General features: G+C 50.2%; 2 annotated features.

Moving 5' to 3' along the window:
- Window positions 1360-1859: an enhancer, noted in NCBI's record as "H3K4me1 hESC enhancer chr17:75613177-75613676 (GRCh37/hg19 assembly coordinates)". NCBI's record gives its function as "activates a minimal SCP1, AML or CMV promoter by ChIP-STARR-seq in naive H9 embryonic stem cells {active_cell/tissue: H9 hESC(naive)}" and the evidence as "EXISTENCE:reporter gene assay evidence [ECO:0000049][PMID:30033119]".
- Window positions 1860-2361: an enhancer, noted in NCBI's record as "H3K4me1 hESC enhancer chr17:75612675-75613176 (GRCh37/hg19 assembly coordinates)". NCBI's record gives its function as "activates a minimal SCP1, AML or CMV promoter by ChIP-STARR-seq in naive H9 embryonic stem cells {active_cell/tissue: H9 hESC(naive)}" and the evidence as "EXISTENCE:reporter gene assay evidence [ECO:0000049][PMID:30033119]".

The following is a 16622-nucleotide window of genomic DNA, read 5'->3' as shown; positions in this document are numbered from 1 at the left end:
GAAGTTGATGATGGGGACACTGCCAGGAGAAGCCAGCACAGCCTGGATTGCGTGAAGCTAACCCCTGGGAAAGCCTCACGCCGCTGGTCAGGTCACATCTGGAATTCAGCCTTCCATTCTGGACGCCCTGGTTTAAGAAAGATGGGAGCAAACAAGGGTGTATTCACGGAAGAGGCATTCAGGGGAGTACATTCTGGACAGAAGGTGAAGGGTCTGGAAAGAGGAGGAGTGATGGAGAGACAATGTTAGCTGAGCTTGAGCTTGGAAGGAGGACAGTTAGGGACCAGATCTTATCACAGGCTGAAAGTATTTCCCATGCTGCAGGGAGAAAACAAATGGTTATTGAAAACCCAAAGTGACTGTGGCTGGCCCTGCCTCCCAGGGAGAGAGGTGTAACTCCTGCTGGGGGGGACTTAAATCTGGCCTCCTGCCCCCTACCCTTGCTGAGGAACAAAGAAGAAAATCATGGGCCTTTGGGGACCCTGGCAGTGCTGCTGTGCTGCGGAAGTGGAGGCTCACGGTTGTCAGAGCTGGGGAGAGGGGGAACGAGGGTGGAGCCTGGAGGCCACGGGGGCTGGGAATATATGGCCCTAGAAAACACCAATGAGACTTCAACTGGGGGAGAAGGAGGCAGGGCGTGTGTAAAGCAGGAAGTGGGCTAGGAGGAAAGGAGGTGCCTGAGCCAGTGGGCAAAGGTGCTGGGGTGGGAGGGGGTCCTACTCGTGGGAGGTGAAGGAGGTGGAGGGACGGCTCTCTAATGTATGACTGGGGCTATTGGTTGAGTGGGGCTGTGGTGTGAGCTTTTCTCCATCACCAGGTCAAACACTGCACAGTTGCTTGCACACAAATATTTGTGCGAACATGTTGGGGAAACAGACCTGTGTTCCAGGATGATGGGGGCCATAGGCAGCCAGTGCCGGGGATGCTGAGGTGAGGGCCCCTTCAGCAAAGGTAGGACTGAGAGGAAAACCGTAGCTACCCCCTACCTGCTCTCCTTGTCCCCTAGACTGCAGGAAGCTCAGGAGGGAGGTGGGGTCCCCCCACATGCAAATGAAGAGTTTGAGGCAAGAATTTTTGGAGCTCAGCTAACAAAGACGTTTTACCCAAAAGGGGTCAACATGCTTCGTGCTGTTCCCTAAAGAGAATTAGGACATTGGGTGAGGCCACTGGGGAGAGCGTCCTTGTCACCAGACAGAGGAGCCGATGATGGGCTGGGCCTCCATGGGATGCCATCTAACCCCCCAGGTTTTAGGCGAAGTTGACAGTCACGCACACAGATAACGGAGGGGGCACTAGAGGACAAAGAGCCAGAGATCAGCTTAATTGGCTGAAGTTTTTTAAAAGGTGGTGGGAGCAAGTTGTGGTTCATATAACTAAAAAGTCCAGAATGTTCCACATGGCTGGACTCAAATGAGCAGACAACGTCTCCAAGAACCTCTCACCATCTCTCAACTCCGCTGTGCTGGCTTCATTTCCCGGCAGATTCTACCCAAGTAGCAGCAGAAACAGCAACTCCAGCCTTCCATCCTTCTGACCCTGCACACCCAAGAAAAGAGAACTAGCCTTTCCCTGTGAACCAGCTGAGACCCCGGGACTGACTCACGGGAGACTGATTTCGTTACCGGAAAGAGGACCTTATCCGGACCCCAAGAGAGGGTTATCGGGATCTTGCTCAAGAAAGAAGTCAGGGCGAGTCCACAGAGTAAAGTGAAAGCAAGTTTATTAAGAAAGTAGACGAGTGGGCCGGGCGCAGTGGCTCAAGCCTGTAATCCCAGCATTTTGGGAAGCCGAGGCGGGCGGATCACGAGGTCAGGAGATCGAGAACATCCTGGCTAACATGGTGAAACCTCGTCTCTACTAAAAATACAAAAAATTAGCCGGGCGTGGTCACAGGCGCCTGCAGTCCCAGCTACTCGGGAGGCTGAGGCAGGAGAATTGCGTGAACCCAGGAGGTGGAGCTTGCAGTGAGCCGAGATTGCGCCACTGCACTCCAGCCTGGGTGACAGAGCGAGACTCCGTCTCAAAAAAAAAAAAGAAAGAAAGTTGAGGAATGAAATGTCTACTCCATAGACAGAGCAGCCCCAACGCCTGCTGGTTGCCCATTTTTATGGTTATTTCTTGAGGATATGCTAAACAAGGGGTGGATTATTCATGCCTCCCCTTCTTAGACCATCTAGGGTAACTTCCTGATGTTGCCATGGCATTTGTAAACTGTCTTGGTGCTGATGGGAGTGTAGCAGTGAGGATGACCAGAGGCCACTCTCATCACCATCTTGGTTTTGGTGGGTTTTTTACTGGCTTCTTCACTGCAGCCTGTTTTATCAGCAAGGTCTTTATGACCTGTATCTTGTGCCGACCTCCTGTCTCATCCTGTGACTAAGAATGCCTAACCGTCTGGGAATGCAGCCCAGTAGGTCTCAGTCTCATTTTACTCAGCTCTTATTGAAGATAGAGTTGCTCTATTTCACACATCTCTGACAATTTGACCACCTTGGAAGAAATCACTGTAACCAGGAGGATGGAAGTCACTAATGGGCCAGGACAGCTCAGGGGACCATCTCTGCACAGGTGTGTGTGTGAGGGCAGATGTCAGCCTCACGGGTGTGGGGCTTGAACTGGATGACACATGGCAAGTTTCCATCTAAGAGTCTATGACTCTATGCCTCTGAGGTGTTTGTTCCTTATGCAAGAACCCAAAAGAGAGTTGAATATACAGCAGAAATTGGGCAAATCATGGTTTGTCTGACTTTAGAAATGCATCACCAGATTTTCTGCAGTCCTTTCCTAATTACATTCTTATCAGACTTGATATTCAAATTAGTTAGGGTCCCCTGGGGTCACCTCCACCACCAGGAAAGAGCAATTACCCTGGCATATGCTGAGTGATGAGGGACCAGCTATGGGCATGGATAGTCCCTCTGTGCATCATTAAATACTGCCCTCCCTTTAAAAAATAATTTTATAAAGATGAGGCCAGAACTTTCTTGCTTTGGGCTAAATGCCATTTTAAAATTCCTGGCACACAGAACAAGCACAAAGTCCTCTTCAGAAAAGTCATGAGGGTTCAGACAGGGAAGGGCTGTACAAAGGATTCAGGCTATGCAAACAGACAACGTTTCAGAGTGGGGCTAAGGAGGGGGTCGTGATTCTGCCACTTCTACTTGACCCGAGTATGTAAATGATTCCAGTTCTGATTCCAGAGGCAAAGCTGAGAGAGACTCAGAAGTTAAGTTTATTTTAGAGGCTATCGAGCCTACTGTTCCCAGAACTGTCCTCAAGTTCATCCTACTTAACCCTAGGCAGCTTTCTCTTGGAAGGGGGTGAAGGTCTCCAGCTCCACGTTGGCCAATTACCTCTGGGGCATGAATCCTGGGCTTTGGTAAGGGCTGGACATAGAGCACAAAGGCAGAGTCTACCAGGCAAAGCGCTGCCCTAGGACCACTTTCTATTAATGTGCCATTCTGAAAAAAATACGTTCCTTATAGTCACCCTGCATGCCCACTGAAGCCCCTAAAAATTCTTAATGCCATCCTTCCATGAAAATCCTCTCCAGGTTTAAGACCTTATTGTCATTCATGGAGACTTTTGAAATGGCCTTTGGGCTGGGCGCGGTGGCTCACACCTGTAATCCCAGCACTCTGGGAGGCCAAGGTGGGTGGATCACGAGGTCAAGAGATCGAGACCATCCTGGCCAACATGGTGAAACCCCGTCTCTACTAAAAATACAAAAAATTAGCCAGGTGTGGTGGTGGGCGCCTGTAGTCCCAGCTACTCAGGAGGCTGAGGCAGGAGAATCACTTGAACCAGGGAGGTGGAGGTTGCAGTGAGCCAAGATCATGCCACTGCTCTCCAGCCTGGGCAACAGAGCAAGACTCCGTCTTAGAAAAAAGAAAGAAAGAAAGAAAGAAATGGCCTTTGAACACTCCCTTCTGCCACCCTGCCTGGATGGCTTTTGTCACCTACCCTGTCCTTTGAGCAACCTTCTAAAAGTCCACTGTGGCCATTCCCCATTCTTAATTCGTACCATTGCTCAGCCTCATCTTTTACAATTTTAAATTGAGATGAAATTCATATAATATAAATTAACCGTGTAAAAATAAACAATTCAGGGGCATTAGGTACATTCACAATGTTGTGCAGCCACCCCCTCTATCTAGGGCCAAAACATTTTCATCATCCCAAAAGCAACCCCTGTACCCATCAAGCAGTCCCTCCCCTTCCCTCCCCTCCGCTAACCCCAGGTGACCACGTGCTTTCTGTCTCTGTGCGTTTGCCTATCCTGGACGTTTCATGTAAATAGAACTATACACTATGTGGTCTTTTGTGTCTGGCTTCTTTCACTTAGCTAATGTTCTCAAAGTTTGTCTATGTTGTGGCCTGTCTCAATATGTACTTCATTCCTTTTTTAGGGTTGAATGTTATTCCCTTGTGTGTGTATAACACAATTTATTTCTCCATTCATCTGTTGATGGCTCTACTTTATACAGGACAATCTGAGCTCCTTGGCTATCTCCTTTATTTGTTTATTTATTTTTTTTACTTATTTATTTGTTTATTTTTGAGACAGAGTCTTGCTCTGTTGCCCAGGCTGGAGTGCAATGGTGCGATCTCGGCTCACTGCAGCCTCCGCCTCCCAAGTTCAAGTGATTGTTGTGCCTTAGCCTCCCTAGTAGCTGGATTACAGGCGTGCGCCACCACACTCAGCAAATTTTGTTGTATTTTTAGTAGAGACAGGGTTTCACCATTCTGGCCAGGCTGGTCTCAAACTCCTGAACTCAAGTGGTTCTCCCATCTCAGTCTCCCAAAGTGCTGGGATTACAGGTGTGAGCCACCGCGCCTGGCCAGCTTTCTTCTGATAAAGCCCTCAAGCCCCACTCAAAACTTCCACATTTTCAAACAGCCTGGGGTTGCTGTTTGGCTCCTCTCTGCCTTATTCATGCTGTCTTCTTACCCACAATCATCTAGCCACCCCCACTGATCCCTTAAAGACACCAAGATGACCCTAACCCTCCTGGTCTGAGCCAGGGGCACCTGCTCTGTGTTCCCAGTGCCCTCCGGGCATATACCTCTTCCCAGCCCAAACTGAAATTCTTGCTCAGTATCCGTGATCCAGCCTCACCCCTCTGCACCTGAGGCTGCAAGCCTTCCACCGTGGGGCTCAAGCCTGCATCCCTACTGAACCTGCATTGCCTGGTGCGTGAGGGACGCTGAGCTGAGCTGAAAATCCCACCATGGAGAGGAGTCCCCCTCGAAACAAGACTCATTCGTGTAAGGGGAATGAGTTTCGAGTTTCTGTCCTGGCTCCTTTCCTTCTGAAAGTGAGCATCACACAACTTGGACAGGGAGGGCTCAGGGGAATCTCATGACTTAAAAAATGAAATGTTTTGAAGATTTCATGATAGTCGTGCGAACTTGGGCTGTAACTTCCTTCAGAACAAAGCACTCACTTGGCCATTGAAAGGGCCTCTCTGGACGGTTTCTGCTGTCTCTGCAAAGCACTTGGGACGCAGCTTCCGTCAGCTGGGTCAGGGAGAATCCTTTGTAAGAGTCATAGAGTCGGCATCCCATGGCAAGGGCTGGTGAGAGCACGTCATTGGATAGCACCAGCAAATTGTTGTATAACACAGAATTGGACTGGCCTTTGTTCCTGGGAAGTCACCCCCAAATCCTTGGCAAGTCTTTGTTATTCACAGTGAGCCCTCAAAGTCTTTGCTAATGAGGGGACTCAGGGTTAGGACAGCCCATGCCAGAAAGACTGACCATGTGAACAGCAGGCTGAGGCCCTTCTCCATCACCTCCTGGAGAAGAAAGGGACTGGAGATCAAGTCCTATCAGTCACTCCTACATCATGAAACCCCAGTAAAACCTCTGAGCATCAGAAGCTCAGATGACTGTCCCTGGTTCGTAATCACACATCAGTCCCCCGGGAGGCTTTGCATAGTCTTGAGGACATGGAAGCTCTGAATTTGGGACCCTCCCAGACCTCCCCCTCTGTGCCTCTCCCAGTAGCTGGTTCTGATTTATATCCTTGCTAATGACACCGCAATCCTAAGTACAGCACTTTCCTGAGTTGTGTGGTTCATCATTGTGAATTGCTGAATGCCAGGAGGTCAGGGAAACTCCTGAATTTGTAGCTAGTTGGTCAGAGGTGCATGTATCCGGGGGGGCCAGAACTTGCAGCCAACATCTAAAGTGAGGGCCTTCCTGTAGGGCACAGAGCCCCCAATCCGTCATCTGCACCAACTCCAGGTGGTTAGTGTCAGAGCTGCACTGCAGATATTATGGTGGATAACCGTTTGATCATGCCGTTTATGCCATAAAGGAGCACAGAAGTGGGGTATAGACACTTTGCTTTGTGGGTATAGACACCTTGCTTTGTGCCTGTCAGCCAATGAAGTCACATATGTGAGCCTCTACAGGCAATCGGTCCTACACCGCTAGAAGTGAAGTCCTGGTCAAGTTGCTGAGACGAAGATGAAATAATGTTGGACCTTGGAGCTAGCCAACTTCCGCCAAGTCATTAGGCGGGTTCATTTGGATTCTTAGGGTCTGAAAGCAGAACCTGTGGGAACACCAACATCACCACCACACCCACAGCCACACCCATCTACACCCCCGAGCAGTTTATCAATCAAGGGGAACTTAGTGAACAGCTGCTGCTGTGCCTGGCCCTCTGCCGAGTGCTGCAGGGGGTAGGAATATGGAGAATGGGTGACCGCCCTCCTTCTGGAAACACTGACGTGCTTGCTAATCTCTGTGGTCTGTGATGGTCGCTAGGGAAGCAGAAGACCGCCTGCCTGACTGAAGTCATCAGGGAAGGTATCAGAGGCCAGGTGGGGAGTAGATGAATGAGATCAGGCAGAAGGAAGGTAATGGAAGGCCCCAGGAGGAAAGGGTCCACTTGAGGAAACCCTCAGCGTCCACTGGGGCCAATGCAGATGCCTGCTCACATGAAGTCCGGGGGCACCAGGAAACGGCTCGTGGAACAACTCTGAGGTCAGGGGTTATTCCTGTTTAACAGATGGGAAAACTGAGGTCTAGGGGTAAATGCCCAGCCTAAGAGCACTCCTCTCTTCCGGATGACATTAACCCCGGAGCCTCCTGATGGACCTGGCCATTCAAGAAGGTGCACTCTTCCTCTTTGACTCATGATACGGGGCCATCCCATCAGTCACCACGCCTGAACATCAGAACAATTTCTAGAGCAGAGCACACGAACCTTCCCTCCCTCAGCAGCACCTCCTAGACCTCAAGAGCCCTGACTGCTGAGACATGCATCCCTTCGGGGGCCTGACATCTCCTCCACTGCGATTTGAACCACCAGAGGATCAGTCAAGCTCTGGAAACGAGACCCAGGGAAAAGGAAATCTCAAATTGAACACGAGACCACAGAAGGTGTCCACATTCTCTAAAGCCCAGAAACCCAGCAGGACCCAGGAGGCTTCCTGGATTTCAGAGTGGGGTTTGCAAGCCCGCCTTATTTGGGGATAAACTGAACATCACGCTAATTCCTCATTAGCCCTTTCCAGCTGTAAGCATGGGGCTGGTGCAGGAGGGATCTCCCATTTCCCCCGATTGGGACCACAGAAAAAGGATGGAAAGTAACTTAACAAGCTTTTTGGATGTCAAATTGCTGTTACAAAACAACGTTTTTAGGAGTTAAGCAATTAATCCAAACACACATGGATTCAATTTCCTTGAAACCCAAATGGCTTAAAAAACCAAGGGAGAAAAATGCTCAGGGACAAATCCCTTCTGAGTTTGTGAACCCCAAGCCTGTGGAAAGAAAACAACAGAACTGCGGTGCTGCCCCCCTTAACACACTGGAAGCTCCCTTCTCGGTGGAGGGAGGATGGGGCAGGCGCCCAGGCCCCACAGTCACGTGGACTGGGGGCCCAGAGGACGTGGACAAGGGAAGGAAGCAATATGCTTCTCCTCTGCTCAGTGCTCTTTCTCTTCTGGTTTTCTATAAGGCAAGGGAAGAGGTTTCAAGGCAAATATTCGCTTTTCCCCTGCAACGCTTTATAACTTGGCCTTAGATACTCACTTGGAAGAAAAAGCTTTAATAGAATCCTGTTGGGGCCTTTTTATGACCTCCCCAAACAAAGGAAATCAAACACAAGACAATGTTTATATCCAACTTCTAGGGTCAAATGGGAAAGCAATCAGCTCAAAGTGCAGAAACATTGAGGGCTGCATCCTCTCTCTGGTGCCACTCACTCTGGGGCACAGATCGGGGACCCGCCAGGCTCAGCCACCCTCTGGTGTGCATCCTTGGGCAAACCACATCCCCGAAACTCCGGTCCCATCTGGAAGCTTGGGGAAGAGCAGTTGAAATAACATTGAGTTCAGAAAGCTAAATGCATGTTGTTAAATCAAGTTTAGCCTAAAGCTGCCTCCTTACATATTTTAAGTTCGGCCTAAAGGTTTTTCTGTACATCGTGAACTATCGATGTAACAAGCGGAGGCATCAACAGACTGTAGCCTGCACTTGTGCCAGTCACTGAGTTTTGGCCAATCAAAGGGGGCCGACTGAACGGTGTTCAAATAAGGCAAACACCAACCTGTAACCAATCCAGCTGTTTCTGTACCTCACTTTCGCTTTCTGTAGTCGATTTCCTCTTTCTGTCCATAAATCTTACTCCACCACGTGGCTGCCCTGGAGTCTCTGAGCCCACTCTGGCTCGGGAGGCTGCCTGATTCACGAATTGTTCATTGCTCAGTTCAACTCCTTTCAATTTAATTCGGCTGAAGTTTTTCTTTTATCAGAGTGAAAATATTATATATTTTTTAAACTTGTTAAGCACCGTGCAACTGTTTGTCCTTGTCACTTGCTGAGGGGGTGTGGCCTGAGCGCTGACAGCCCCCCAGTGATGACAGCCTTATTGTTTTATTTTTACTCTTCACAACATGGCCCCTCTTCCTTCCTCACCCCCTTCCAACTTCTTTTGCTCCTATGGAGGTTCCAGCTTCACAGTGGAGAAGAACAGGACCCACGGTCTGACTGCAGGCCTGCTGCCATGTTTTTCACAGAATTAAATCCACCAGGAACTCTCTCCTTCTCAATATCTGACCTGCCCACAGTCCTTAATCCTCTTGCAGTCCGTAACAGATCAGGAGAAGGTCAGGGGTGTTGTCTGAACCCTGGGAGGGAACCCGTTCAAAGACAGCAGAGGGGCCCCTGAGGAGCTCCCACCCCAGCATCCACCTCCCCGTGGGGCCAATGTCTGATCTCCCTACCTCCCGTTCCACTCGTGGGGCCAATGTCTGATCTCCCTCCCTCCCGTTCCACCCGTGGGGCCAGTGTCTGATCTCTCTCCCTCCCGTTCCACCCGTGGGGTCACTGTCTGATCTCCCTCGCTCCCGTTCCACCCGTGGGGCCAGTGTCTGATCTCCCTCCCTCCCGTTCCACCCGTGGGGCCAATATCTGATCTCTCTCCCTCCCGTTCCACCCGTGGGGTCACTGTCTGATCTCCCTCCCTCCCATTCCATCTGCCATGGGTGATTCCCTCACTGTGGGACAATTCTCACCAGCATGACAGCACATGCCACTTCTCCTGTCCCCAAAAACCAAACTAAACCCTTTTGCCCTGTTTTTCCCTCGAGCAATCACTCCACATCTCCCCTTTCCTTGGCAGCAAAACTTCTCAAAAGAGCTGTGCACCCTTGCCATCTCCATTCCTCTCCTCTCATTCTCTCCCAGCATCCAGCCTGGGCATGGACCCCATCACCCCATGGAAGCTCCCGTTGTGCAGGTCACCAGAAATGCCATGCCTAGGGATCACCCCCAAAGAACTGAAAACAGAGACTCGAAAGGAGACACGGCCACACATGTTCATAGCATCATTACTCACAGCAGCACAAAGCTAGAAACAGCCCAACGGCCGTCAACAGATGGATGGGTGAATGCAGTGTGGTCTATCCATACAGTGGAATGCCATTCGCCTTAAAAAGAAACAAAATCGCCAAAAGAGTAGATTGTAAGTGTTCTTACCACAGAAAAATGATAGTTTATGAGGTAATTCATGTGTTAATTTGTTCAATGTAGTCACTGCACTATGCATACATATTTCAAAACCACATTGTACAGCATAAATATATATCTATAAAATTTTGTCAATTTTTTTTAACAATTAAATTCAAATGTAGAACAAAAAGAAGTGAAGTACCAACATGTGCTACAACGTGCATGAACCTGGAAGACACGACGCTGGGTGAAAGGAGCCAGGCACAAAACACTACATTGTGTGATTCCACGGATATGAAACACTCAGATTAGGCAAACCCCTAGAGGCAGAAGGCAGATGAGGGGTTGCCGGGGGCTGAAGGCGGGGAGACGGGGAGTGACTGCTGACAGGTGTGGAGCCCCCTTTGGAGGAAGGAAAATGTTCTGGAACACAACAGTGCTGATGATCTCACGGCATTAGGAAGGTGCTTACGGCCATGGAAATGTGCGTTTAAAAATGGTTACTATGGTAAGTTTTATGTTATGTGTATTTGATAGTTAAAAGAAAAGATCACCAGTGGCCTCCACGTGGTATGTCCAGTGGTTGGTTCTCGGTAGTCATATGACTTGGTCCTTCTGCGGTGTGGATACAGCTGCCCATCTTCCCTTTCCCTTGAGAATTCTCTTCCCTTAGCCCACAGGACCCCACTTTGCCTGGATCTCCTCCTGCCCGCCTGGCTGCTCCTTCTCGGTCTCCTTCGCTGGAGCCCTAGTCTCCTCACACTCTGACCCCACGAGCCACCCGAGGCTTGGACGACTTTTTTCTGTATCCACCTTCACTCTCCCTGGGACTTCATTGAGTCTTGTGGCTTTGAATACCACATAGATGCCCACAAGTCCTATATTGGCTATCTCCAGCATGGTCTCTCCTCCGAATTCCAGACTTACACATCCCACTGTGTCCTCAGCCCCTTCACTCAGACAGACGTTGAATGAGCCTGATATACCCAAACTCAGCTTCCCACTACTCCACATCCCGAATCTTCCCATCTCAGTTGACAGCAGCTCCCGCCCTCCAACTGCCTGGACTTGCCCTTGACTCCTCCAAGACTCTTGCACCCCCCATCCACCCGCCAGCACATGCTGCCAACTCCACCTTGGAAAGTGCCCAGTGTCCAGCCGCTCCCACCTCTGCCATCTCCAACACTCTGGAGCAGCCACCATCACCTTTCACCTCCTACGAGTCTCCTTGCACCTCCCCCATCCCCATGCCCCCATAGACTGTTCTGTACTATCACAGCTAGCATTTTAACATGCGAATCAGATGTCACTCTCCGGCCTTAATGCACTTGGAGAGGAAGCCAAGGCCTCATCCAGACTTGCCTGTTCACGAAGCCTGCATCCTCCTCGGCTGCTCTGGCCTGAGCTCACCTCTCCGCGGCTGGTGCGCCAGCTCCCTGCTATCTTCCCGCAGACCAGGCGGGCTCCCACCTCTTAGCCTGTGCACTTGCTATTCCTGCTGCGTGGAATAGTCTTTTTCAAGAACACCTCTTCTTGAAGATGCTCTTGAATTCAAAGATATTTGAATTACCAGCTGGAGTTGAAGAGAGGACATGCTGGAGATAAACAGTTTGGGAGTTGTCAGCATCTACATGGTATTCAAAGCTACAAGACTCAATGAGGTCCCTTCAGGTCTGTGCTTACAGCTCCTTGGTGAGGCTCTGCTGGAAGCACATTGGACAGAGCACTCCTTCCAGCCCCGGCTCTCCGCTCTTTCTGCTTTGTTTTCTGCATGGAAACCGTCACCTTCTAAGATGCGTGCTGTCTCTGTGTTTTGCCATTCTTGTTGCTCATCCCTTCCCTCTAGAATGTCAGCTCCGTGAGAAAAGGAATTAATTTTTAAAAATTCTTTTGACTGTTATGCCTCATGTCTACAACAGTGCCCAGCCAGCAGGAGGCGCTTGCTAAACAAAGGTTGGATGAATACGGATGAATAAGTGAATATATGAATGAATGAATGAATGAATGAATGAATGAATGAATGAATGATGAATGAATGAAAACATGGCAAAGATGCCCAACTCTGCTTGTTATGAGAAATGCTTACGTGGGGAGCCTTTGTCCTGAGGGGTCCTGCAGTCTGCCCCAAGGGCTTCCCCATGGGTTGGGATATTAGAATGCGGAGTCTACTCCAGGTCTTTGGGGACCCATAGCTCCTTGGGTGCAAGTTCACATCTTACCCAGCCACCTCCTGACCTGACCAGGGGTCTATGCCAGCTCACGCCTTCTTTGTGTGACCCGGAGCAAATGACCAGCCTCCTGGGCAGGCACTGTCCACCTCTGCTGGTATCACCGTTTTTGTCCTCACTCCATAGACGGTGCCTGGGTCTCTTGTTGGGAGCATTGTTCCCAGAAAGCTAGAAGCCACTTGGCAGGAGGACTGGAAACACATAGGAATTTATGTCTCCCTTGCCCGTGACTGACAGGCTGAGTTTTACGTTCTTAGCTCCTGGGTCCCTGACTGGGACATCTCTCGGGCATGATCATCATCATCTCCAAAATTTGCCTGTGCTTGGCCTGATCCTGCACTGCGTAGCCTCCTCCTCCTGGTCTCTCTGAGTCCCTGTTCCATTGCGCAGCTTTCCAGGGCACATCTAACAAATCCCTTTCATGCAGGTCCTCCTCCCAGGGCCTGCTCCTGGGGACCTCAGCCTAAGACACACTTTCTAGTGTTGCGAGAATTAAAGTTAGATTTGGCAGCACGCACATGCCAGGCACTATGCTGTGTGCATCCACACACTGAGCCCTCACAATGCTCCCAGGGGCATCATTACACCTATTTAAAAGATAAGAAAACTGAGGCCCAAGGTCACATGATAAAGGGCAGCACCAGCATTTGAATATACACGTTTTCCTGACATGAAAGTCAGTGTCTTTCACCCCTCAGCATGCTCCCTATAAATGGCAGCAGCTATGAAATGCCACTATACTTACTAGTATACAATGTAGCAACTAGGCAGGGCAGGGTGGCTCACACCTGTAATCCCAGCACTTTGGGAGGCTCAGGCAGGCGGATCACTTGAGGTCAGGAGTTCGAGATCAGCCTAGCCAACATGGTGAAACCCTGTCTCTACTAAAAATACAAAAATTAGCGGGGCGTGGTGGTGCCTGCCTGTAGTCCCAGCTACTCAAGGAGGCTGAGGCACCAGAATCACTTGAACCTGGGAGGCGGATGTTGCCACGAGCTGAGATCATGCCACTGTACTCCAGCCTGGGCGACAGAGAGACTTGTCTACAAATAATAATAATAATAATAATAATAATAATAATAATAATGTAGCAACTATAGAAGGCCATAATACTCTTTAGCATACATTGTAGCAGGTATGAAATGCCACATACTTACTGGTATACATTGTAGCAGATATGAAACAACACATACTTACTGGGATACATTGTAGCAGGTATGAAATGCCATAATGCTAGAATATAATGTAAGAGGTATGGAATGTCACCACACTGATTAGTCTATACTGTTTTACATCAATGAAAATGTGTGTTCATGACTTTTCAGCCAAAATGGTTTTTAAATCTTCAACTCATTTCCCCTTTTTAGATTGAAAGAGACTTAAAATTGTGCCCCATCCCATCCCTGAAGAATTTACTACAGGAGAAGGCAAAGTCATCCTGCCGTATTTTTAACTGATCGCCTGCTTGTGCCTGTTTGCTGAGATTTATTCTCCCATTAATCACTGCCCTCCCTTCATTCATGTTAAATATAAAATTGATTAGGAAAGATCCCCAACATGGTTTAAAAAAATAATTAGCTGCTACATCATGTTGCCCACAGTGTGACAGAAAGGAGTGATTAAATTAGGAATATTAAAACCCCATTAATCTGCGCTTAACTTAAGCTCTGCTTGTTCATCTCATGGTGGTGCTTATTATTTCTGACACTGAAAGATATTTGAATTACCAGCTGCAACAAGGTCACTTGCTGAAAGATGTCAGGTCAGCCATTAGTCAAAGGCGGGAGAGGCGACCAGAAGTGGGGACTGCCCATGTGTCAAGGAGGCCCCCACTTGAAGATGCCATTGCGAAAGTGGGCAATGTACCGCACTCTGGCAGGGCCGGGCTGCAGGCACCCTTAGGGCTTTGCCACACACCTCCTCTCCGTCACTTCCCACTGGTCACTTGTGAGGGTAGGGACATCTGTGGTGTCCTGGGCAAGCATCTTTTGCCCCAGCCCCAGCGGAGCCTCCACCTCTTGTCTGTGGGTTCTTGAATGCATGCACTCTAATGACAGTGATTATCTAAGAATGGCAAATGTCGCCTGTTGGATGCTTGCACGTCCCCAGCACCAAACGGAGCTCCTTTGCATCTTTTATCTCCTTCATTTCATCAACAGCCCTGAAAAGTGGCCAGCTCTGGCCTCATTTAACAGGTGAGGGATCTAAGGCCCAGATCCAGACACTCGGCTAAGGTCACACAGCGGGCAACCAGCAGAAGTGGAATTCAGCCCCATCTGTTGGGCTCCAAAGGGACACCCTTGGCCACTCGGAGTCCACAGGTCTTCTTCAAGAGGACGTGGCCATGCAAAGGCACAGGGATGCTGTTTTGGGAATCAGTCCTGTGTTGCATGATTTAAAAATGAGTTCCAGGCCAGGCACGGTGTCTCATGCCTGTAATCCCAGCACTTCGGGAGGCCAAGGGGGGCAGATCATGAGATCAAGAGATTGAGCCCATCCTGCCCAACATGGTGAAACCCCGTCTCTACCAAAAATACAAAAATTAGCTGGGCATGGTGGGGCATACCTATAGTCCCAGCTACTCAGGAGGCCGAGGCAGGAGAATCTCTTGAACCCGGGAGGCAGAGGTTGCATTGAGCCGAGATTGCACCACTGCACTCCAGCCTGGACAACAGAGTGAGACTCCATCTCAAAAAAAAAAAAAATGAATTCCAACAGCAATGACAAATCAACTACTATTGCAGAGTGTGGAGCTGGGTACCAAGCGAGAATCTCCCTAGAGCCTGCCCCACCCCCACCCCTGTAGTCTGGTACCTGGGAGCTGGAGACAAGTCAGCAACAGGGATAAAAGGCTTCTCACCCCTCATTTCTCCTTAGAGTAAGAATTTGGCTAATGTCTGCTTTCAGCCATGTCTTCATCTACTTCTTCTTCCCCTTTAATGTCACTTGTGCTCTGTTACATGAATCTGAATCACACCCAAATACAGTCATGACTCTAGCCCTGGAGGGACAGGCAGGGATGGTCGCTTTCCTGATGTCAGGCCCACTTGCGCTGCCCATGCTGGTGTCCCCTCTGCTGGGTCTGGGGTGGCTGCCTGAGGTCTGCGTTCAGAGTGTGCCTGGGGCTGGGCTAGACCAAGGAGGCATCTCCCTGGAACAGCTGGAAGTGGCAACATCAAAAGGGTGAAGGTGAGCTGATCTGTGGGGAGAACGCCAGGGTCCGTGGCTCGGGATCCGCCGTCAGGTCTGAACAGAGAGTGAGCGTGCCTCATGGCGGTAGTCCATAGATCTCTCCTGAATAAATGAAGCCAGGGAAGGGCAGCTGCGATGTGAGGTCAACGCTAGTTCAGGAAGGAGAGCAGGAGATGCACAAGGCCAGGGGCTCGGAGCAGGGAGGCTGTGGGGGGCGGGGGCTTTTGCACCAAGTCCTGGCCACCGGGCCCCAAGGGGCAGGCCCCTCAGTCTCTGTCTGACCCCAGACATCTCCTCTGATGCAGACTGTGCTGTGCACTGTCCCTGCGCTCAAGCTCCTCTTCCTCATCTTCATGAGTGCTCTGTCCACACCTCCCTCGGGGCTCTGGGCTCTTTCTCCCCGGCGCCGGTAATCCCTTTCCTCCCTCTCCCTTCACAAGGAAAAGCTGTGTTGAGCATGGATAGAGACCAGCTTTCCTGGGACTTTTGGCCATCTGGTTCTCTGAGCGAGCACAACCCTGCCTCGACCTCCGTGGCTTCTCCCCACCCCTGACCACACGCTCACAGGGCCCTGTGGGCCCCACTCCTGGTACCAAGTCCCTCGGTTCCCCAGGTGCCCGGCGTGCTCAGGTGCTTGGTTGAGGTTATGGAATTGAGTCTAAGTGGGACTGGAGACCCCCTGGTTCACCCCCCTCATGCCACTGATGAGAAATGAAATCCAGTCCATCATTGACTTTGCCCTACTCGAACTGTTGGCTAGTCACTGGCTGCTTAGAAGAAATTCACACTGATTATTTAAGAGCAGAAGCATTCAGATCCCATAGAAAGAGTTTTTCTCCATAAAGGATGCCTGGGACAGCCCAGCGTTGGTTCCTGTTACACAGTGTTCTCTCCGTCGCATGCTTACCAGATGTGTCAGTGAGGGACAGGCCTGGGAGGAGATGTGTCTGGACTTGGGCACCCCTGCTTGCCCCAAATAACCACAGTCACGTGCTGGCCACAATGCCAGACAGTCCAAAAGTTGTGAGCCAAGCGGGCTGGCAGCCCCGGCCCCCACTATTCCTTCTTAAATGGCAGAGAAAGAGCTTCCCTTGACCCCCACAAGTTTTCTGCCTGTGGCAGATGTGGGGTTGTCAGTTCCCTGGTGGGGGCCCGGGTCCAGAAGCACTCAGCTGGATTACTGGAAAAACGAAGATACAAGCCTATAAAAACAGCCTGGCTCCCAGTGAATTCCT

The sequence above is a fragment of the Homo sapiens genome, chromosome 17 (assembly GCF_000001405.40).
Source record: "Homo sapiens chromosome 17, GRCh38.p14 Primary Assembly".
Taxonomy (NCBI): Eukaryota; Metazoa; Chordata; class Mammalia; order Primates; family Hominidae; genus Homo; species Homo sapiens.
This window is presented reverse-complemented; position numbering and strand designations above follow the sequence as displayed.